This window comes from Homo sapiens, chromosome 3 (genome assembly GCF_000001405.40).
Source record: "Homo sapiens chromosome 3, GRCh38.p14 Primary Assembly".
Taxonomy (NCBI): Eukaryota; Metazoa; Chordata; class Mammalia; order Primates; family Hominidae; genus Homo; species Homo sapiens.
In genome coordinates this window covers 53,536,060-53,558,945 of record NC_000003.12, presented here as the reverse complement: position 1 = coordinate 53,558,945, position 22,886 = coordinate 53,536,060, and the positions used below count along the sequence as shown (strand labels likewise).

General features: G+C 41.1%; 1 protein-coding gene across 21 annotated transcripts in view, besides 1 other annotated feature; it reads right to left on the bottom strand.

Annotated features, from left to right (window-relative positions):
• CACNA1D (calcium voltage-gated channel subunit alpha1 D) overlaps nt 1–22,886 on the bottom strand; it is a 319,123-nt gene that overhangs the window by 254,788 nt on the left and 41,449 nt on the right. The gene's annotated exons all lie outside the window — the stretch shown is intronic.
• Nucleotides 12,858–13,359: an enhancer, noted in NCBI's record as "NANOG hESC enhancer chr3:53579614-53580115 (GRCh37/hg19 assembly coordinates)". NCBI's record gives its function as "activates a minimal SCP1, AML or CMV promoter by ChIP-STARR-seq in primed H9 embryonic stem cells {active_cell/tissue: H9 hESC(primed)}" and the evidence as "EXISTENCE:reporter gene assay evidence [ECO:0000049][PMID:30033119]".

The following is a 22,886-nucleotide window of genomic DNA, read 5'->3' as shown; positions in this document are numbered from 1 at the left end:
CTTGAAGAAATACTGGCTGAAAACTTCCTATATTTAGCAAAAGACCTAAACTTACCACTGCAAGAAGCTCAGCAGACTGCCAGCAGGATTATCTCAAAGAAATCAATACCTAGAAAGATCATAAACAAATTGCTAAAAACTAAAGACAATGAAAAAAATCTTGAAAATAGCCAGAGGAAAACAACATACAGCATAGAGAAGAATGATTTGAATTATTACAGATTTCTCAGAAGAAACCATGGAGGTCAGAAAGAAGAGGAACAATTCTGATAAAGTGCTGAAAGAAAAGAGCTGTCAATCTATAATCCTTTACCTAGCAAGAAGCATCCTTTTGAAATGCAGGTGAAAGAACAATCTCAGAGGGATGAAAACTAAGAGAATTCATTCTAAAAGAAATGCAGTCAACAAATTAGATAGCCTACATGAAATGGACAAGTTCTCAGGAAAAATAAATAAATAACTACTACTGAAACTGACTCTAGAAGAAATGGAAAATTGGAACAGGCCTATAATAACTGAAGAGATTGAATTAGTAATCAAAAAACTTCTCACAAAGAAAAGGCCAAACCCATATGGCTTAACTGGTGAATTCTACCAAATGTTCAAAAAAAGAATTCACATCAATCCTTCATAAACACTTCTACAAAAACCAGGAGAGGAGGGAATACTATAAGGCCAGTATTACCTGATACCAAAAACCACACAAAGATATCACAAAGAAAACTACATACCAACATCTCTTATGAATATAGACATAAAAATCATCAACAAAATGCTAGCAAACTGAATGCAGTATATAAACATATAAACATTTTGACCATGACTAAGTGGGATTTATATGAAGAACGTGAGATTGTGTTCAAACAAAAATCAGTGTAATACATCATATTAATAGAATAAAGGTCAAAAGCACATGATCAACTCAACAGAAGCTGACCTTAATAAATAGAGAAGGATATCATGTTCAGGAATTAGAAAACAATATGATTGAAATATCAATTCTCCCCAAATCGATCTATAGATTCAGTGCAATCAAAATCACAGCAGGCTTTTTTGGTAGAAGTCAGCAAGCTGAATCTGAAATTTATGTGAAAAGACAAAGGAATTAAAATGAACGACAAAAATTTGAGAAATAAGAAACTGGAGAATTCAAGTCACCCCGCTTTATGACTTACAATAAATCTGTAGTAATCAAAACAGTATAGTGCTGGTGAAGGGACAGACACAAAGACCAACAGAATAGAGTCTGGAAATAGAGTCAAGTATGGCCAAGTGATTTTTGACAAATGTACAGATAATTCAGTTGAGAAAGGATAGGCTTTTCAACAAATAGAGTTGAAACACTGAACATTCATATGCAAAAGAAAACGCACTTCAACCTAAACTTCATACTTTTTCTACAAAAATTAAATCTAAGTAGAACACAGATCTTTCTTTTTTTCTTTTTTTTTGAGACAGAGTTTCGCTCTTGTCGCCCAGGCTGGAGTGCAATGGCGCAATCTCGGCTCACTGCAACCTCCACCTCCCGGGTTCAAGCAATTCTCCTGCCCCAGCCTCCCAAGTAGCTGGGATTACAAGCATGCACCACCACACCCGGCTAATTTTGTATTTTTTGTAGAGATGGGGTTTCTCCATGTTGGTCAGGCTGGTCTCAAACTCCCGACCTCAGGTGACCCGCCCTCCTCGGACTCCCAAGTGCTGGGATTACAGCGGTGAGCCACCACGCCTGGCCATAGACCACAGATCTTAATGTAAAACTATAAAACTTCTAGGAAAAAAACTGGAGAAAATCTTTATGATCTGTAGTTGGGCGAAGATTTCTTAGATACGACATCAAAAGTATAACTCATAAAAGGAAAAACCAAGTAACTGGATGTCATCAAAATTTAAAACTTTTGCTCTGCAAAACACACTTAGAGAACAGAAAGACAGCTGGGCATGGTGGCTCATGCCTGTAATCCCAGCACTTTGGGAGGCCAAGGTGAGCTGATCACTTAAGGTCAGGAGTTCAAGACCAGCTTGGCCAACATGGTAAAACCCCATCTCTACTAAAAATACAAAAATTAGCCAGACATGGTGGTACATGCCTGTAGCCCCAGCTACTCAGGAGGCTGAGGCAGGAGAATCACTTGAACCCAGGAGGCAGAAGTTGCAGTGAGCCAAGATCACATCGCTGCACTCCAGCCTGGCAACAGAGCAAGACTCTGTCTCAAAAAAAAATTAAAAAAAAAAAAGAGAGCAAGAGAGATAATAGAAAGACAAGCTATAGACTGAGAGAAAATATTTGCAAATCACATATCTGATAAAAGACCTGGATCCAGGATATATGGGGCACTTTTCAAATTGAACAGTAAAAAGAAACCCAAAAGACAGAAATAGTCACTTCACCAAGTCACCAAAATAATAATAAACAGGTGGCAAATAAGCGCATGAAATAACATAACATTATTATCCATTAGGAAATAAAAATTAAAACCAAAATGAGATACTACTACGCACCTATTACAGAAGCTAAAATAAAAAGTACTGACACGATTAAGTGTTGGCAAGAATGTGAAGCAACTATAGCTCTCATACACTTCTGGTGGGAATACAAAATGGTACAGCCATTTTAGAAAGCAGTTAGCTTCTTATAATGTTAAATATACAATTCCACTCCTAGGTATTTACGCTAGTGAACATCTATATTCATACAAAAACCTGTACGTTTCTAGCACCTTTTTATAATCACCAGAAACTGGAAATAACCCAAATTTCCTTCAACAGATAAATGGATAAACTGTACTATATCCATAAATGTAATATTACTCAGCAATAAAAAAGAACGATTTCTCCACACTCCTAAACATGGATGAATATCAAAGGCATTATGCTGAGTGATTCCATTTACATGACATTCTGGAAATGACAAAACTATAGCAATAGAGAACAGATCAGTGGTTGCCATGGGCTGGGGTAAAGGAAGAATAGGACTACAAGAGGCAGGATAAGTTTTGCGGGGGACAAAACTGTTCTGTTATCTTAATTGTGGTAAGAGATACAACAATTTATATGTTAAAGCTCACAGAACTGTATACACGTGCACACACCCCGATTTTTACTGTATGTTAATTTTTAAATTAATAAATAATCTGAGCAGTGTGTATCAAGAATAAAAAAGAATTTCTAAAGGCAGAGAAAGGAGCCCTAGATGAGAAGTAGGCAGGCATTCCCGTCTGCTGAGATGCAAACAGGGTTTAAAGATTCTTCCTTCCCAAAAGGTCAGGCGCAACTGATAACAAGTTGGGAGGAGGGGGTGGTGAGAAATGGACCATGATTGAGAATGATTTGAAGAGAAAAAAGACATGTGCCAATATAGCATTAAATGAAAGGGCTGTGGGCCTCAGGTTTAGAAAGTCCTAGATCTCTCTTTTATATGTGCCTTTTGTCAACTTATTTCTCTGTTCCCTGGGAAGTACCTCAGAAAAAAAAAAAAAAAAAAAAAACACACACACACACACACACACACCCACCAGAAAAAGCAGCCAGAGAGCAATAGGGGAAAGGGCAGAAGGTCCACCAACCACAGCCACTTTCACACTGAACTCCACGGGCAAAGCCCTATCCTGCATCTTGTTATACGACTGTGACTGAGAGCCTTGTTCAAATGCTCAATATTTTCCACAGCTTTGTAAAATACAGGGCCATAAAAAACATAGCTGGAAATCCCAGCATTGATTCATCTCACAAGCCCGTGACACTAAATGTTTGATAAGTCTTTCTCAGTTTCTAGTTCAATCATTTGGTTATGGCATCCTCATGGGACCACGCCAGATACACTACATAGAAATAGTAGGATATAAGCTATGGGAAACATAGTTTTGCTCTAATATAATTACAAGTTTTCACCTTCATTCTATTTCATTATATTCTCTTTAAAATGTCATAATCCTACATATTTGAAAATGATATTATCATTCACAATGCAAATTTGAAAAGGGGAAGTTGTTGTTTCTGATTAAGTCAATGTATGAGAGTCAGGGGTATTTACTATCTCCCTGGCTGCCAACAGAACCTTTTCCTGTTTATGACTAGAATGCAAATAGTCATTGAGCTCAGAAGAATGTTGAGTCCAAGAACTTAACCAGCTTTAGGCATCATTAATCAACAAAATATTGATTGTTTACTGGGTACAAGGCCATGTGCTGGTCCCTGGGTGGTTACAAATGGATAAGATGTAAGCCACCAATGTGCTTTAACCTCACGCAGCAAAAGCCACATAAACTGTGCTATGGGAGAGGGAACAAAGAAGAATCTAATCCCTACCCTTGAGGGAGACTAAAAAGTAACTAAAGAGAGAAGCGGAATGTATTTGAAAAAGACCTAGGAAACGGTAACGAAATCTAAGTGCATGTTCAATTCAACAGCCATCCTGTTGTGGACTCAAAGGTGGTGGCACGAAGAAGGGAGCCCCTTGAACTCATCAGGGCATGCTCACAGAGAAGCTGAGTTTGGCAGAAAGGCCTGGAGAGTGAGGGGGCTGTGAGGCTAGACACAGCATGACTTGTAGGAATTGCATATGATTGTTCATAGCAGTAAAAGCAAATTACTGACACAATTTCTATTTTTGTAACGTCTTTTTTCTGTGGTACAATACTAGACATTCTGGTTTTAAAACACACATATAGGCACACTTACAGTTTAGGACACCCTCACAAAGATTGACACAAATATGATTTGTATGATAATTTTCCACCTTTTTTTTTTTTTTGAGACAGAGTCTCACTCTGTTGCCCAGGCTGGAGTGCAATGGTGCCATCTTGGCTCACTGCAAGCTCCGCCTCCCGGGTTCACGCCATTCTCCTCCCTCAGCCTCCCAAGTAGCTGGGACTATAGGCACCCACCACCACGCCCAGCTAATTTTTTGTATTTTTAGTAGAGACAGGGTTTCACTGTGTTAGCCAGGATGGTCTCCATCTCCTGACCTCATGATCTGCCCGCCTTGGCCTCCCAAAGTGCTGAGATTACAGGTGTGAGCCACCATGCCCAGCCCATGATTTTCCACTTTAACACAAGTCTCTAGGTAACATATCTAGTATGGAAAGCTCCTACTGCAAAGGCTTAGGCCTTAGAAGAACCTTTGAACTCACCAGTCCTAATTTTTACTCTCTCTTCCAATGCAAAGACTGACTGCCAGGGAATCAAATCTGTTGACTGTATAGGGCTAAATATTACAGAATCTGGAGCCTATGTCTGGCGTGTGTACATGTGACTTGTCATAGGGTTGGATAAAGACCCTACTTATCATTACACTGTTACAACTGCATTGGAAAGAAAATGGTTCTGGTTACAAATTGCAAATGTAACAACTATTTCTTTTTCTAATCAAAAAACATTCCCGTAGAAATGGTGGAAGTCATACACACACACATACCCATACACACACATTACATTTTAAAAAGATACCTGGCAGTGGTGGCAGCAGTGCTGTGACATTTCCCCTGCCACCACCAGCAAATGCCTTTGATGAATGGTAGGGATTTGTGCTTGAAATGCGTGAGGAACAGGAGGAGAGCAACAGTGCTCTTAAAGACTGTGCAGGCAGGCAGGGAGGCAGACAGACGGGCAGCGGCAGCAACAGCATAAACACATTTTTTTATAACTTCATAACTGAGAGCAGGGATTGTGTTGAACACAAGTAAAGCTTCATTAGTCACGGAAATTAGGACTTTATTACAAACTTCACTAACATGCTCCACTAATTGGCAGTAAGGCCATTCTGAATAAGTGTGTCAACTAGAATTGGTTAAACATAAGTAAAACAGCATTACTTTAAAGTAACCTTTTGTTTCCTAAGCTGAAGTCACTGTCTGAAAGTGGCTCTAGTTCCCTGCTTTCATGCACGTGCAGGTAGCTGGATTTGTTATCTATGAGTAATTTTTGAATGCTCCCGCCCAGGAGTTTTTAACATAACTTGAAAGCAACTGCTCTCCTATACAGGCTCAGCCTGCCTTCAATTCTGTCCTGGGTTTATTAAGCACTCAGCAGGTGAAGGTACAGTGGGAATACACAAAATAAAATGTAGTTCCTGACCTGAAAAAGTTTGTAGTTTAGGATGGAAGGAAATCCTTAAGAATAGTAAATCCTTTTAGTGTATGGCAGCAGTTCCAAGTTCAGACTGGAGGGTAAAGTGGTAACATGTTATCTTTCTACTACAATGCCAAGCAAAATAAATATGAGATAGGAAAGAAAGTCCAAAGAGAAAGAAAGAAGATACCAGGAGAAATCAAACAAGAAAGGGAAATGTCCTGTAACCCCAGCACTTTGGGAGGCCGAGGCGGGCAGATCACTTGAGGTCAGGAGTTTGAGACCAGCCTGGCCATCATGGTAAAACCCTGTCTCTACTAAAATTACAAAGATTAGCCAGGCATGGTGGTGCATGTCTTTAATCCCAGCTACTTGGGAGGTTGAGGCAGGAGAATTGCCTGAACCTGGAAGGCAGAGGTTGCAGTGAGCTGAGATTGTGCAATTGCAGTCCAGCCTGGGCAACAGAGCGAGACTCTGTCTCAAAAAAAGAAAAAGAAAGAAAGGGAATTGGTCTATGTCGAGAAGAGAAACAGAAGTATCTGGTGGAAAGGGCAGCATGGCTTCTGGTGGCATAGCTTCCGACCCAGCCCTTACACCTCTGGGACAATGAAGAGGTGTCAACCAAGCCCTGAGCATTCTCACCCAAGCTCCAAGTTGGAGAAAACACCAAGGAGGTAAGCCACAGTAAAATAATGCCTCAAGCATACAGCCCCTCCACACACACTGGGAGACAGTGGCAGAGACCAGAGATACCCCAGGTCTGCCATTTTCCAGGGTACTGCACTGAGTTGCCCGTACAAGTGGGATCCACCCCCAGAGGGAAGAGGGGGCCTGGGCATAGGTCAGGAGTGGGATAGCCATAGAGTACTTCTGCATCCTCAGGGCAAAGACAAGACTGAAAATACCACCTAGTACTCAAACTATAGCCCCAGGGGAAGACAAACGGTCACAGATGAGGCAGGAAGAGTGCCTGGGAGAATTTCCCCATTCACCATGGAGCCAAGTGAAAGACCTCACCATCAGCTGCTGCACAGAAATGACACAGCCACCCACACAAGTGGGAGATCGAGGAGGAGGCACGGCCAGTTTGTTTGGAATGGACAGGTGTGTTAGGTAGGAGTCCAGCCTTCACACCCTGTGTTTCCTTTCTTTTGCTTTGGACCTTCTTTCCTAACTAAAAAGAGAGCCAGTGAAGGTTCTTGAGAAGGGGATGGCAAAGAGCCATGAGATTTTATCTTTGTAAACCTCGAAGTGTGGGTTTAGGAAAATGCATGGTTCATCCTTCCCAGCATCCACCACGGTAGGTAGCACATACTCGATACCTCATAGTTCATTTACAGGCATGTAGATGTGTGAGCTGGTGACTCACAAAAGGAAGGAGACAGTGGGTACAAGACGAAGGTCGGGTCATACCCGGCAGCAACCCAGGCTTCTGTACCCACTCCCTGTGGCTCAAGTCAGTCTGACCCAGACAAAACAGGCTCATGATCTGGGTAACTTCTTCCCTTACAGGGAGCCTGAGAGTCCTGGCTCCTCTGGGTGGAGGGCAAGCCGGGGAACCTGACCTTAAACCTGCCAACCCCATAACCAATCAGCCCTTGGGAAAGTCATGTGTGACCGTGGCCAGGGAAAAGCACTCACACCTGTGCTATTTAAGTGCACATTAGCACTAAACAGAGAGAACATTTTTTTCTGGGATTGAAATCTGGCACCCTGGGGCTTAGGCCCAACCTAAATGTATTTCTTCCACTATTAAAACAGTCATCTAATTAAAAACCAGCCAATACAAGTGCGGAGAACTATATGTTCATCAGTTTAAGATGTTTTTTGGCATAGAAATACCCCAAAAATGGAGCTTTAAAGAAAATTTGGCAAACAGTTAGGCCTTAATCACTTTGTCTTGATACCTTTTCAAACATTTTAAACAAGAATGATATCATCACTGTAATTTTATTTATTTCAGAGGGAGCTGACTAAACAAATTTCACAACATATTTCCATCCCCAAGTTAAAGATATAATTGCTCATTTAAGTGAAAAACAATTCTGGGTCTCTCTTTTTTTAATTAAAATACCCGTAACTCTAAAATCTGTTTTGTCCCCCAAGCATTCCCTGCCACCACTTCTCAGGGCTCCTATGTGTCTAGGGATTTTTCACATGGTTTTCCTCAGATATGGAGCAATAAAATGAAGACAGCAAGAGAGAAACTCAAGTCTACAGTGGCTGACTGCAAAGACGACTGAGAAGCCATCCATCTCAAAGAACACATGAGAAATTACCCAACATTCTAAAACCATGTTGCACACCCACGGAGAATCTTCAAAATGATCCATGAAATAAACATCTATTCAAAGAAGAAACTGGCAGTGAGCAGGTCACATGGTGCCTGACCCACTTACACAGGAAGGCCGACAGTTCATGAAGAGTCAAGGAATGCAGGGTGAGAGGTTCACAGAGCCTCCAGGGGTGCTAGAAGCTGCGAGATGGTGCTGAGGGAGTGAGACCTAGACCTGGGTTGATGGGAGGGATCAGTGCTGTTGAACCCTGCTTGGTGGTTCCAGGGTAATTTCACACCACAGAGGAGAACCACACTGCTCCTCTGCGCTGCCTGATCCAGGTGCTGTATCTCACTGGTTCAGCTCCCATGTGCAGAAAGGGATCTTGAAGGCCAGCCAGCACCACTGCTCCCACGTGCCCTGGTCAGCATTCTGGAAGGGCATCCCCAGCTCTCCTCACTCTCTCTCCCATCAGTCCTTTCCATGGGAGCCAACGTGGGGAGAGCCAATTCGCTTTCTATGAGGGGCAATCAGGGACAGGTCAGCACCACACACCATCTCTTCCTCCCAGCAGCTCAGCAGCCGACTGAAATCTTTCACTTTAAATCCTTATTCTCCTGTTGTCCTATATGGATTTGCAGAACTGCTCAAGAGAACACATGATCCTTTGAGTATTTGAAGGGAAAAAGATCTTTCCCCTACACTCTCTAATCTACTCAAAGCTAAAGGGTCAAGGTGAACAGGCAGTATAAGAACATCATTAAGAGAACACCTATCAACTTAGATTTTATGATAAATTGATCTGAAACGATCTGCACACCACTTCTGTGCATGCTTGAAAAGCCAATGGTGAATATGAAGGAAAAAAATTTTAATTGTTTTTAAATATTTAAAATATGAGCAAGTGTAATACCCTTAAGAGTCAACTTTTAAAGAAACTTGTAAGTTAGGGTTTACATTATTATGCTTTATGCTTATCACAGTCCTCTCTAGAGTGAGCACCTAAAGACTGTGTCTCTGAACAGTCATTTGAGATACAATATGGAATCTTCTAGAATGTCCCCAACTAGAAATCACATCAGATTTCCTACCTCATTTTACAGCTGAGGAGTGTTAAGTCCAGAAAAGTAATCATTTCTGTTCAAGGCCCTTCAGCAAGTCAACAAGTCAGTGGCTGAGGCAAAAATAGAGCCCAAGTCTACCAAGAGTTGGGTTCACTATATCCACACGGTCTCAAGGGCCTATGAGTATGTAAATTCAAATTCATATGGAAATCATTCCCATTTGACAAAAGCAACATAAATGGATTTAAATGAAAGCACATTCAAGTTTGAAGCAATTAGACCACATAAAAGAACACAAAGTATTGTGACATCAGTACGTGACAAAAAGAAAATGCCTACTATACTCAGCCATCCTCTGATCTGTAGAGCTAAACCCCACAGTAGCAGTGAGAAGATGGCATCTGCATTGTGATTTAATTTGCAGACTGTTTCTCTCATTCTTAAGGCCCGCTAAGTGCTGTAAAACAACACAAAGATTTGTGAAGCCCTGTACATAACCAGACTATGAGAATATTCTATTTTTTAACTCTTCTGTTACTGCTCAACACCCCCAACATCAATTATTTTTAACTAATGATATCTAACAAGTACAATAGAAGTCCCCAATGAATGAATGTTGAATTCATTTCCTGTATTCCAGGCAAGGAGAATATGTGGTCATCTTCTCTACCACTCAGCGTCTGCCTCTGTAAAATAAGGATCACAATGCTGCTCACCTCACAGATCTGTGTGGACGTTAAATGGGAACGTTTATGCAAACTATTGCAGTATCTACAATAAGAACCACTACATGGCAGATGCTGTTCTTATATTTCTAAATAAATTGCTGTCTTGTTTCTTAACACACAAATCAGAAAGGGAGAGATAATACAAGCAGAAATAATACCTAACAGTCTGAGGGGTCAGGGTTTGGGGGATCCAGATGGGACAGGAAAAGAAAGAAGAACCAGAGAAGTCTAAGACTCTGGAGCCACCACCTGCAGGGGCAAGCAACCTGAAGGCACCATCACTCGAGCACAGCAGAATCTTGGATGTTCCTAACAGTGACCCGGCATGATGGAGAGAATGTCGGGTTAAGTTCTCAGCCGGCTGCTTCTGAAGGTAGTTAAATGTGTAATGTATTTTCAGAGAATTTCCTTTTAAAATGGATTCTTTAAAGATAATTTTTAAAAAAAAAAAAAAAAAAAGCTTTGTTGCTTACAATGGATACAATTCAGCTTTAGCACTCTGGAAAATTCAGCTCTCCAGAAGGATACAATCTGCAAAGCCAAGGTATGTTTTCTTCTTCAGTTATTTTGTGCACCATCAACTAAGCCACAAAGGTAGTACTTTCTAACCATTCTGCCAAGTGATCTTTCAGGGGAGAAAGGTGCAAAGAGAAAGAAAAAGGAAAGACGAAGGCGGAAAGAATCAAAGGACCAAGAGAAAGAAGTAAACCAAACCACAGAGAAATTTGCAAATCACCTCTACTCCTTGATGGAAGTGGGGACAAGCCAGACCTGCCTTCCACCTACCCAGCTGTAAAATCTGGGATAATCCTCCCTGGCCTGATGTGCCACTCTTCTGGAGCTGTCCCCATTGCTCACGCTGGAAAGGCTATCCAGCAATTCCAAGGAAGTAGTCGGCATTTAATACATCCTCAGGAGAAAACTTCTGGTGGGGAAACGATGTTAGAGGGGCATAGGCAGGACCTCATAGCCTTGTCATTCCCAGTTCTACTCAGATAATGTAAACCTGAACTAAAACATCACAAACAGAAGGTGCAGTCTCAGTGAAAATTGCCATGGTTGGGTCATGACAGTCAGCAAGAGAGGCAGCTGCCTCCAAAGGGCCACTGCCATAATCGTTAACAGCGGGTTCAAAATGTGCCTCCTCGGAGAAACTTCCCTGCCTCGTTTCTTCCTTAATTCTCTTCAGCCCACACAAATGCAACGTCCATCATCTCCAACTACCAAGTACACAAAGCCTCAAATACAGGAAGGCAGAACCCTGACGCACCCATCTAAAGAACTGACTCACAACTTTCTAGAAGGAAAGAGAAAGTAAGACAAAGCCCAAGATGAGGGGACCAAGTCTCTCTCCACTCTGGGCCCTTGTGCATTCACAGGATGCAGAAAATAAAGAGAATCAATTGACGCCATAATATTTTTTTAAGTCTGTCTCCCCTACTAGACAATAGGCTCCAAGAGAGCAAGAGCCCTGTTGCCCTCGTTAGCAGCATTCCTAACACAGGGCCTGGCTTACAGCTGCTCTCATAATAGCCAATGAACAAATGAATGGGGGGCAAGCAGGCAAAGGCAGGGGAGCACTTAGGACCACAACCAGTGAGCCTTAATGCCTTGCACCCAGCACACAATGACAGGTGCACTGGACTAAGATTCCAGACACCTAGTTGTACTGCTGATTTTGACATTTATTCAGCAAATAATCCTGGACACGTCACTCAACATACATGAGCCTCCATTTCCCTCTTTTCTAAAATGCCTCTTTTTTTGCATGGCATGGTTGATGAGATCAAAAAGAAGTAACAAAATAAAACTCTTTGGGCCAATGTTTGGTACTATATAAGTATAGTATGTAATAATACAATTTACTACAAACAACTTTCCAACAGCACCTCACTTTACAAAGCCCATGTTGTATACTAGGCTGTTTTACATCCAGCCAATGTTATACTGGGCTGGATATTTTACAACTCCCATGGTAAAAGTAAAAACACTGAGATTCAGGAGAGTCGAGTCTCTTGCCCACTGCTAGGACGCAGGTCTATTTTCCAACCACTTGCTCTGTGTATGATGCAATGCAGTTAGTAATAATCACAGAAATGGAACCATGCTGGTAAGTTGAGCCTGGCAACCCAAAACTTTCAACATTCAAGCACATGGGGGTGGCTTGGAGTAGGAGACAAGGGGCAAAAGTAAATGCAGAGGAAATGCCCAATTATAAATGCAGCAGGATCTCTGTGGAGATTCCTGTTAGACAAATTCTGACTCTTATGGCCTTTCAGAAGCTAAATTATGGTTGTGACCAGTTGGTCACCAGAACCCTAAGCCAAAAGCTACTCTAAAATAAGGACACAGATTAATCGGAACCCTGATCACTAATGACTATAGACTCAATGTCAATACAGAAAAGTCTGGACAGTTTGGTTTGGGGAACCCTACCCCAAATTCAGACCCACAGAGGTGAGGAGGGCCCTAGTGCAGCTCTGTTGGGTTCCTGGAATCGGTCACACTCTAAATCCAGCTGCCGGTTCCCCCAGGGCCCACACCTCCCTCCCAGCACTAGGACAAAGCTGCTGATCCTGACTTTTCATAGTTGAGCAGTGGTAACATCTAAATTACAAGCTCAGCTGACACGGCGACGGCCACAGCCACAGCCCTCATGCAGCCAGTAAGCAGCATAGAAGGGCCTCGGGGACTGGAGGGCCTGGCCAAAGAGGCCCAATATACAATATCTGTGATCCCTTGTCACTTCTCCTTCCCCCATCCACGAGCCTTAGACATTCCTCAACCCTCTGCAAACTGAAGCCCAGTTTGTATCAGTTCTCCATTCCAAAAGGCACTGATTCACACTGCTACTGCCTATTTTCCCGTGATTCTGTAATTGCTTTATAAGAAGGGTGCATGAAGGCAAAGTGATAAACCACAGAGGGCTTGCAGAAAAAGAATTACATCAGCACGCACAATAGAAACAATCTGGACTTCCCACTGTTGCCAGAGCGCCTCCTCCCTGCCCCCTGCCCCAACTCTGTTTTATCCTGTGCCCTGAATCCCAATTGCTTTGAGAAGGAGAAGAAAGTGTCCAGGTTTGGCTAATTGCATCAAACAAATCGAATTTTTACATGATAACCACCAGGGATTTTGAGGTCAGTCTGCACAAGCCCTTTCGTCTTTCCCTGACCCCCAAATTACTTTGTTTTCATTTATAAGTAAAGAAGAACACCATGACCTTTTCAAGCTGTCAGAAGCCCATAAATTACTGCTCTACTATGACAGTCCTGGCCTGAAGCTCCCCTGGGAATCACCTCTCCTGAAATCCTCACCCCGCTCCTCTAAGAACCTCCTTCGGGCTCAGTTCCATGACAAGGGCAAAAGCCCAATCGAGGTACATCCGTTTTACACACCACATGTGTGTAAAGGGAACCTGGCCTTATGCTCTCTCACGAGCTCCATGGCCTTGTGAGGGAGAGTCATTAAATGTCTGCCAGCTCTGCTGCCTGGTCTGGGAAAATGGCAGGAATCATCATCGGCCCATTACTGTTGTGGGGAGAATCAAAAAAGAAAATATTCTGGCAAGTACTTTGTATTCATTAAGATGCTCTTTAAAACTGCAGAATCATAGGATTATAGTCATGGGCAGAATTTGAAAGATCATTTAGAACCACCCAGCATCTCACTGTTAAGAAAACCTAGGCCCAAAAAGTTAAAGTGACTTGCCAAAAAAGCCTCATGGCATGGTTTTCTTTGTGAATACAATGGGAAGGATCCATAGTTCTCCAACCTTAATATCCATCTTTCCTCCCCTTTAGAATTATAAAACATTAGCTAATCCCTATGGAGCACTTATTCTATGCCAGGCACTGTACTAAATGCTGCATGTGCTCATCTCATTTAATCCTCCCAACCACCTGTAAGCCTATGAGGTAGACGCTCCAGTGGCCCCACTTCCTCGAATGAGGGATGAAGCAACTTGCCAGGTGACAGCGCTTGAGAGTAGCACAGCTAAGATTCAAACCCAAGTCTGTAGAACATCAGGGCCTTTAACCCAGATGCCCCACTACCCTCAAACCATCCGATTCGCCATGCCAACCTCTGCATCTAAATATGCCATCCCCTTGTGAGAAGCATATTGATTTGTAAAGACAGCTCTTCTTTTGATATTAATTCAGAGATGAAGCTCTAACCTCCCACTGGGAACAGGCACAACACACAGGTGACTCCCACCAATCACCAGGCAAATGATTGATGACTCAATGGGGAAAGTCCCATTTGATTTTTCCCTTGCCTGCATCATCCCAGGACTGGAGGTTCTTGTGACCTTTTCATAGTGCATGAAGCTTTCTCCCTGAGATTTGCAGGTTTTCATCTGGGTGGGAGCCAGCCCCAGTCCCCTCTGTCTCAGGAAGCCTTCTCTTTGCCTCCAGCCGGTCCCTACCCCCAACCTTGCCCATCTGTGAAAGCCCTAAGAATTACTGTTAGCCCTGCATTTGTCCATATTGTACTATATAATTTCTATAATTATATGTGCTGCAAAATTTGCCCCTTTATAGATATTTTTAATTATTTCACAAGACAGTCTTAATTGGGGAAGGAGAGAAAGACTGAGGGGACACTTTGGGACAAGATGACCCTCTCTGAGTTAGACCACAGCATGAATTTGTCAGATCTGCATCCTTCCCCCACCCACAATCCCCAGTCCATGAAATATCCTGATTATGATTTGTATGTCCTCAGTCCCAAGGTCTTTAATGAATTAGCAATGGCCTTCACTGATGGGCTGACAGAGATTGACTGGATATAAAAATAAATCAGAAGGCATAAAAACACAAACGAAGGAAACACACAGAAACATTAAAGATGAGCAAATCTGTGTGTAGAAATATGGATGATTCTTATTTTCTTCTTTGTGCTTTTCTTGCCTAATTTGCATTATTTGTGCAATGAAAATGTTAAAAATTCCATTGCCCCTCTCCCCCAACAAGAAAAAGTTCAGATCTGTTAGGCTGATCTGGGTATGAATCTACCATTTACCAGCCATGTGACCCTGGACGAGATATCTAAGCCCTCTGAATCTCAGTTTCCTCACCTGTAAAATAATGAGAGTGCCTCTACCACTGTGATTCTGAGAGCTAAATAAGACAATGGTACATGTCACAGGCTTTGTTCCTGCTTTTACAACAACTTTAAAATTTAGAGGCTTAGCACATAGTAAGCAATCAATAAATGTTAGCTATTATTAGGACAATAATTATTCTTCATGTTTGTCTCAGCTGGTTGATGTATTCCTGGGTACTGCCAGAGTGTCTTACACAAGGACAGGCAGGCATTAAGAACCCAATAAATACCAATAGATTCCCACACACCTACCAAAGAGAGGGCCCTGAATCCTGCACATTTGGAGAACAACAAATACTAACTCAACTGTAAATGCTGAAGTCCTTTACCCACTTTCTCCTCACCCTGACAGAAAAGGTTTACTCCCGAAATGGGTTGGGGGATGGGGCATGAGAAACAGTGCTCTTTAAAATCGTAATTATAAATTCAGAGACATTACGAAGCTTTGAGTTAAAAGGGTTAGGGGAGGCTGGTTTGTGGGGAGTTTTTGGTTTTGCTTTGGGTTTGTTTTGGTTTTTGTCCTTTCTTATGGTACCGATTGACTTCTTCATTTATTTATTTATTTCTTTCTTTATTTATTTTTTACTGCTGCTGTTCTTTTTTTTTTTTTTAATTTTATTATTATTATACTTTAAGTTTTAGGGTACATGTAGTCGGAGTTTCGCTCTTGTTGCCCAGGCTGGAGTGCAATGGCACAATCTCGGCTCACTACAACCTCCGCCTCCCGGGTTCAAGCGATTCTCCTGCCTCAGCCTCCCAAGTAGCTGGGATTACAGGCATGCGCCACCACGCCCAGCTGATTTTGTATTTTTAGAGACAGGGTTTCTCCATGTTGGTCAGGAATGGTCTCGAACTCCTGACCTCAGGTGATCCACCCGCCTCAACCTCCCAAAGTGCTAAGATTACAGGCGTGAGTCACCACACCTGGCCAACTCCTTCTTTAAAGAGCCCCTGAGTAGCACTGATTTGTATTTAGTGGAGAAGGGAATCACAAAAGACTACTTTCCTGTCTATTGGTAAGTAAACCGGCTATTTCACTTATATCTAACTTGCATCTAACCCTACATCCAGACCTGAGAATTCTTGAATATTTATTTGTTTATTTATTTATTTATTTATTTAAGCAACAGGGTCTTGCTCTGTTGCCCAGGCTGGAATGTAGTGGCACAGTCAAACCTCACTGCAGCCTTGAACTCCTGGGCTCAAGTGATCATCCCACCTCAGCCTCTTGAGTAGCTAGTGCTACAGCCACACCACCACCATGCTCTGCTAATTATTTTATTTTTGTAGAGACAAAGTCTCCATATGTTGCCCAGGCTGGTCACAAACTCCTGGGCTCAAGCAATCCACCTTCCTTGGCCTGTCAAAGTGCTGGGATTACAGGCACGAGCCACTGCATCTAGCCCAGACCAGACAACTCTTTACCATCCATTCAATTAAAGTAACTATGAAACCTACAGGGAAAACTTCACTGAGACAACTGAGAAAAAAAAAAAACCTGCATTTTTTGCTTGTTTTTAATGTTTTTTAATAGCTTCATTGAAACATAATTCACATACCATGCAATTCATTTAAGTACACAATTTAATGGCTTTTAATATATTCACAGATATATGCAACCAGCACCATGGTCAATCTTAGAACATTTTGATTACCTCAAAAAGAAACCCTGTATCTTTTAGCTATCACCTCCCTATCACCCCACTCTCTCCTGCCTGAAACAATCACTGATCTTACTTTCTGCCTCTATAGAGTTCCCTATTTGGGATGTTCATATTAATGGAATCATAAAATACGTGGTCTTTTGTGATTGTCTCAGCTGCCTTGACTTAAATGATGTCCTGGAGGGAGTAATACCCACTTATGGTAAAAGACCGTTATACAAATACACTACATCACAACTCCCCTACGCGACAGTAATCTGCTTGAAGACAAACAGTGGATGGCATAGTCAACACTCCACCTTCCTCACGGTGTTCACTATTCCCCAGAACACAGGTGCTCACGAAACATCTGAAGAAAAACAGATATACTCAAAGAATTACTGGAATGGGAGAGAAAAACATTTCCGCTTTAACAAAATCAGAGATCCAAAAGACTGGTCAGTCCCCCATTTGGGGAGGAGGATGACTCAGGAGCCGGAGAGCCCTCACGTTAGCTGTCACAAAGAGCATCGACAGTCACTAGAACAGGCTTCTCCGCGCCCATTTCACAACACGACAGGGGATTTGCTCCACACAAGCGCAGGCTCTCCCACAAAATTTGCTCCAAACTATTATTTGGCTAAATTAGCATTTATTCCTTTGAAACATGGAGAATGGCTAAGTGTCAATCTTTTGAAAATACTGTAATCATATTGTCATTAATACAGGTTAGACCTAACAAAAAATTACTTCATATCCAGATAATTTCTCTGAATATGGCCAGTTAGACCTCCTAATTTAGGCTGTATGAACTGCTATTTTACATGAATTAACTGGGAGTAAATATTGTCTATTAATATTTAAAACAATCAAATTGTTTGACCCAGAAGTTCCCATGTTTAGAATTTGCTTTATAGATGTACTCGCAAAATTATGTCAAGATTATGTACCAGAGTTTTTTGCAGCACAATTTTAAACAAGAAAAACAACCTTAATTCTGTCAATGAAATACCATGCCGGCCGCGCACAGTGGCTCACGCCTGCAATCTCAGCACTTTGGGAGGCCGAGGCAAATGGATCAGCTAAGGTCAGGAATTCAAGACCAGCCGGGCCAACATGGTGAAACCCTGTCTCTACTAAAAATACACAAATTAGCCAGGCATGGTGGTGTGCACTTGTAATCCCAAATACTTGGGAGGCTGAGGCCAGAGAATCGCTTGAACCCAGGAGGCGGAGGTAGCAGTGAGCCGAGATCACGCCATTGCACTCCAGCATGGGTGACAAAAGCAAAACTCCATCTCAAAAAAATATATACATATATCATGCCACCATGACAAAGAATGAAGCCGACTGGCATATGGATAATGTAGAAAGAGCTCCAGAATAAAATTGTATGTGAAAAAGTAAGGTGCAAACAATGTGACACTATTATTTCTTTGGTGTCAATTTTTTTTAAAGGAAATTTAAATAGAAAGGCAAAGATATAAGACTTTTTTTAAAAGATCATATATAAGTTGCATATAATACTAAATAGTATATAATAATAATTACTATATTTGAAATCTTTACTATATACCACATATCCCAACAAAGTGGAGGAAGACGTCCTACAATAAAATTTTAAAAGTACTTGTGGCCAGGCGTGGTGGCTCACGCCTGTAATCCCAGCACTTTGGGAGGCCAAGGTGGGCAGATTGCTTGAGGTCAGGAGTTCGAGACCAGGCTGGCCAACATGGTGAAACCCTGTCTCTACCATTAGAAAAAAAAAAAAAAATTAGCCGGGCATGGTGGCACATGTCTGTAATCCCCACTACTCAGGAGGCTGAGGCAGGAGAATCGCTTGAACCTGGGAGGTAGAGGTTACAGTGAGCTCAGATCATGCCACTGCACTCTAGCCTGGGTGACAGAGTGAGACTCCGTCTCAAAAATAAATAAACAAACAAACAAATAAATAGCATTTGTGTTTAAAAAAAAAAAAAAGAATGTGTTCATCAAAAGACACCATAAAGAAAGTGAAGATAAGCCAGAGTGGAAGAAGAAATTCGCAACACACCCAACCAATCAAAACCTGTACCCAATACATATAAAAATGCCTATGAATCAATAAAAGATAACTCAATGGGAAAATGAACCAAAGACTTACTGAAACAACTTGAATAGAAATGTCATAAAGGAGAAAAGTCCAATACTCAAACATATGGAGAAGTGTTTAACCTCACTGGTAATCAGAGAAACACCAAACCAAAGTCACAGTCAGATATCACTTTCCATCAACAAACTAACAGAAATGTTAAAGTCTGACAATTCCAGGTGTGGGCAAGAATGTGAAGCAACAGGAATGCTCACACGCTGTTGGTGAGCATATCAGCTGGCATGACACATTGGAAAGAAGACATGCATAGCATCTAACCCAGCAATTCGACTTCTATGTATATACCCTTCAAAAACATATGCACATGTGCAACCAGAGACAGATACAAGGTTAGCAGCAATTCTTTAACAGCACAAAACTAGAAACAACTTGACTGTACATCAATAGCAGAATGGATAGATTGTGGTCTACTCATCCAATGGAGTATCATATTGCAAAGAAAATGAAAACAAATGAATCTCATGTTGAATGAAAGAAGCAAGATATAAAAGAATCCAGGAGGCTTGGCACGGTGGCTCATGCTGGTAATCCCAGCACTTTGGGAGGCGGAGGCGGGCAGATCACGAGGTCAGGAGTTCAAGGCCAGCCTGGCTAACATGGTGAAAACCTGTCTCTACTAAAAATACAAAAATTAGTCAGGCATGGTGTTGGGCATCTGTAATCCCAGCTACTAGGGAGGCTGAGGCAGAAGAAGTGCTTGAACCCGGGAGGCGGAGGTTGCAGTGAGCTGAAATCACGCCACTGCACTCCAGCCTGGGCGACAGAGCAGGACTCTGTCTCGAACAACAACAACAAAAAAAAAAATTCAGGAAGCATGATCCATTTAAATAAAATTCAAAACAGACAAAACCAAGTGATACTGCTTAGGGACGTATTTTGTCTTAAATGATCAAACAGGAAAGAAAATCGAGGAAGTCATTACCATAAACACTGAGTGGTGACTGAGGGAAGTGGGAGAAGACTGTGTTCAGAAAGGGATCCCCTGCGGTGCTCTGCTGTGTTCTTTTTTGAGGCTACATTGGTGTTGTACTGTATGCATTTTCTCTATGTGTTTTTACTATAAAAAGCTGTTTGTTTATGGATATGTACCTCTGAACCCAAAATTTAGTTCTGAAATACTATCTCCCACTAAAAAGCAGCAGGACTGACTCCTTGAAGAAAATGGCTGATTCCAGATCCAGGGCAAGAAATGTGTAAGATGAATCCAAAACATCTTGTTGTACCAGAAAGAGAGAAAGCTATCAGAGACTACTAGGTCATGCCAAACAGACACAGGGACCAATGTGAGAAGGTTCACACTACCACAAGGGGGATGATCTGAGGGTCAGTAACTTCAGCAGAACACAGTAAATATGCTAAAATATATCATACTTTTAAAAATTACAAAAACCAAAAAACAAACCAGTCACTGTTAAAGGGTACTAATAAGTTAAGTCAAAACTTCAAAAACAGGCCAGGCGCTGTGGCTCACGCCTGTAATCCCAGCACTTTGGGAGGCCGATGGGGACGGATCACTTGAGGTGAGGAGTTTGAGACCAGCCTGGGCAACACAGTGAAACCCCATCTCTATTAAAAATACAAAAATTAGCCAGACATGGCACGCATGGTGGCGTGCGCCTGTAGTCCCAGGTACTCAGTAAGCTAAGGCACGAGAAACGCTTGAACTGTGGAGGCAGAGGTTGCAGTGAGCCAAGATCACCCCACTGCACTCCAGCCTGGGAGATAGAACGAGACTCTGTCAAAAAAAAAAAAAAAAAAAAAAAAAACTTCAAAAACTGGTAAATATGGAGAAAAATCAAACATTTAAGCCAATAAATGTCACAGAAATCATAGAACTAAGAGTATCCAGCATTTTACAACCCATAAGGAATGACTTGATCTACACATTAAACATCAATGAGTACTAACATCACAAAAAAGGACAATCAGATACTAAGTGCCTCCTCTTGGAAGGACTCAATGTCACCAGTGAAGTAGCCTAGCTAAAAAATAGTAATAAAATAAAACAAAACTTGAATGTTATGAGCCTGTAGGTCCAACTACCAAATTCACAGGAAATTCAGAGGAGAGAGGAACATATTAAACAATACTATGGGGATGTAAAACCTCTAACAAGTAACCTCATTTCTTTAAAAAATAAGTAGCAAGGAGGATAAAAGAGTGTGTACAGAGGGAACAGACAGATTAAAATAGACTTAAAGGACAACAACCAAGTCACACTGTGTGAAACCTACCTGTATCCTAATTCAAAGAGAGTAAAATAAACTATGACATTTAAAAGACAACTGTGGGTGTGGGGAGACAATTATAGGTAATACTCAGTGCTCAAATATACACTAAGGAATTATTATTTTTTTCTCATGTGTTAGCAGACTGTGGTTATGTTTTTTAAAAGTTATTATATTTTAGAGATACATACTGAAATATCTACAGATAAAATGATATACCTGAGATTTGCTGATATACCTGAGAAAAAAATGATATACCTGAGATTTGCTTCAAAATAATACAGGAAATGGATTCCACAAATTAAATAAGATTGGCTATAAGACGAAGAGTTATGAAAGCTGAATGATGGGTACACAGGGTTCATTACACTTTTCTGTCTTGTGCTGTACATATTTGAATTTTTTTCATAGTAAAAGGTTAAGAGTATTTTTACTAGTAAACTAAGCTTAAGAAAAGCTTTTGAAAAGAATATATATTCTAGTATAAACAAAACATTTTTTGGAATGTTAACTATTAAATGTTAACACTGGGTAAAGGAATTGGAATAAAGGACAATGTAGGAGAGAGATTTTGCTTTCTTATACTGTTTGAAATAAAATTAGCATGTGCATTTTAACTTTTATTATCAAAAACATTAGAAGGCATAGTCTGAGCAGTGAGACTAACCAGCCATGGTTTTCTTCTGTCTTTATTAGTAAAAAATAAAAGTAGAAAGAAAAATAACCGAAAGTTAAAAGCTGAACTTCAAAACGAAATCATGTATCAGTTAACACATAGGAGAACTAAAATTCCTCACCATCTAGACCAAAGATTGGCAAACTTTTTCTGTAAAGGACCAGACAGCAAATATCTTAGGCAACTACTCATTTCTGCCATTGTAGCAGGAAAATACCCATAGATAATACGTAAATGGATGAGTGGGGCTGTGTTCCAATAAAACTTTACTTATGGTAACTGAAATGTGAATTTTGTACCATTTTTATATGTCACAAGATATTACTATTCTTCAGCTATTTGTTCAAACATTAAAAAATGTAAAACACCATTCTTAGTTCACAGGCCATACAAAAAGAGGCATAAGGCCGTGTTGGCCCGGGGGCCGTGTTTGCCACTCCTGCTCTAGACAGTTTCTCATGCCACTTGGATCCCCTAGTTTGGAGATACCATCTGGACTATATAGATTGTCTATTTTTATGTCTTTTAACCTGGTAGTTCCCATGCATTTCAACAATGCTTCTGTGAAAAAATCAGTACCATATGTTAACAAGGCTGTTTACAATTACTTCATTAGAGATAGAATCTATTTTCTCAGTTAAAAAAAAAAGTAAATGGTCAAGAAGACACAAATTTGCTTCAACCCATGCCAAGTGCAGCTTCGAAAATGACCAGGGTAAGAGAAAAATCTTTGACTCTTAACCTCCCCTGTTATTAATTACATGACTTAAGCTGTAAAATCTTTTGCAAAGAAAGAAAAAAGGAAATTCAAAACTTTTCAGCCCCTTTTGGAGCCATGAGTCCTTTCAAAGTTTCCATGAAAACAATATAGTTAAGACCCTGAAAGCACCAGTGTCCACAGAAGCACAAACATGGGTTATCTTAGGTCCAACCATATACATTAT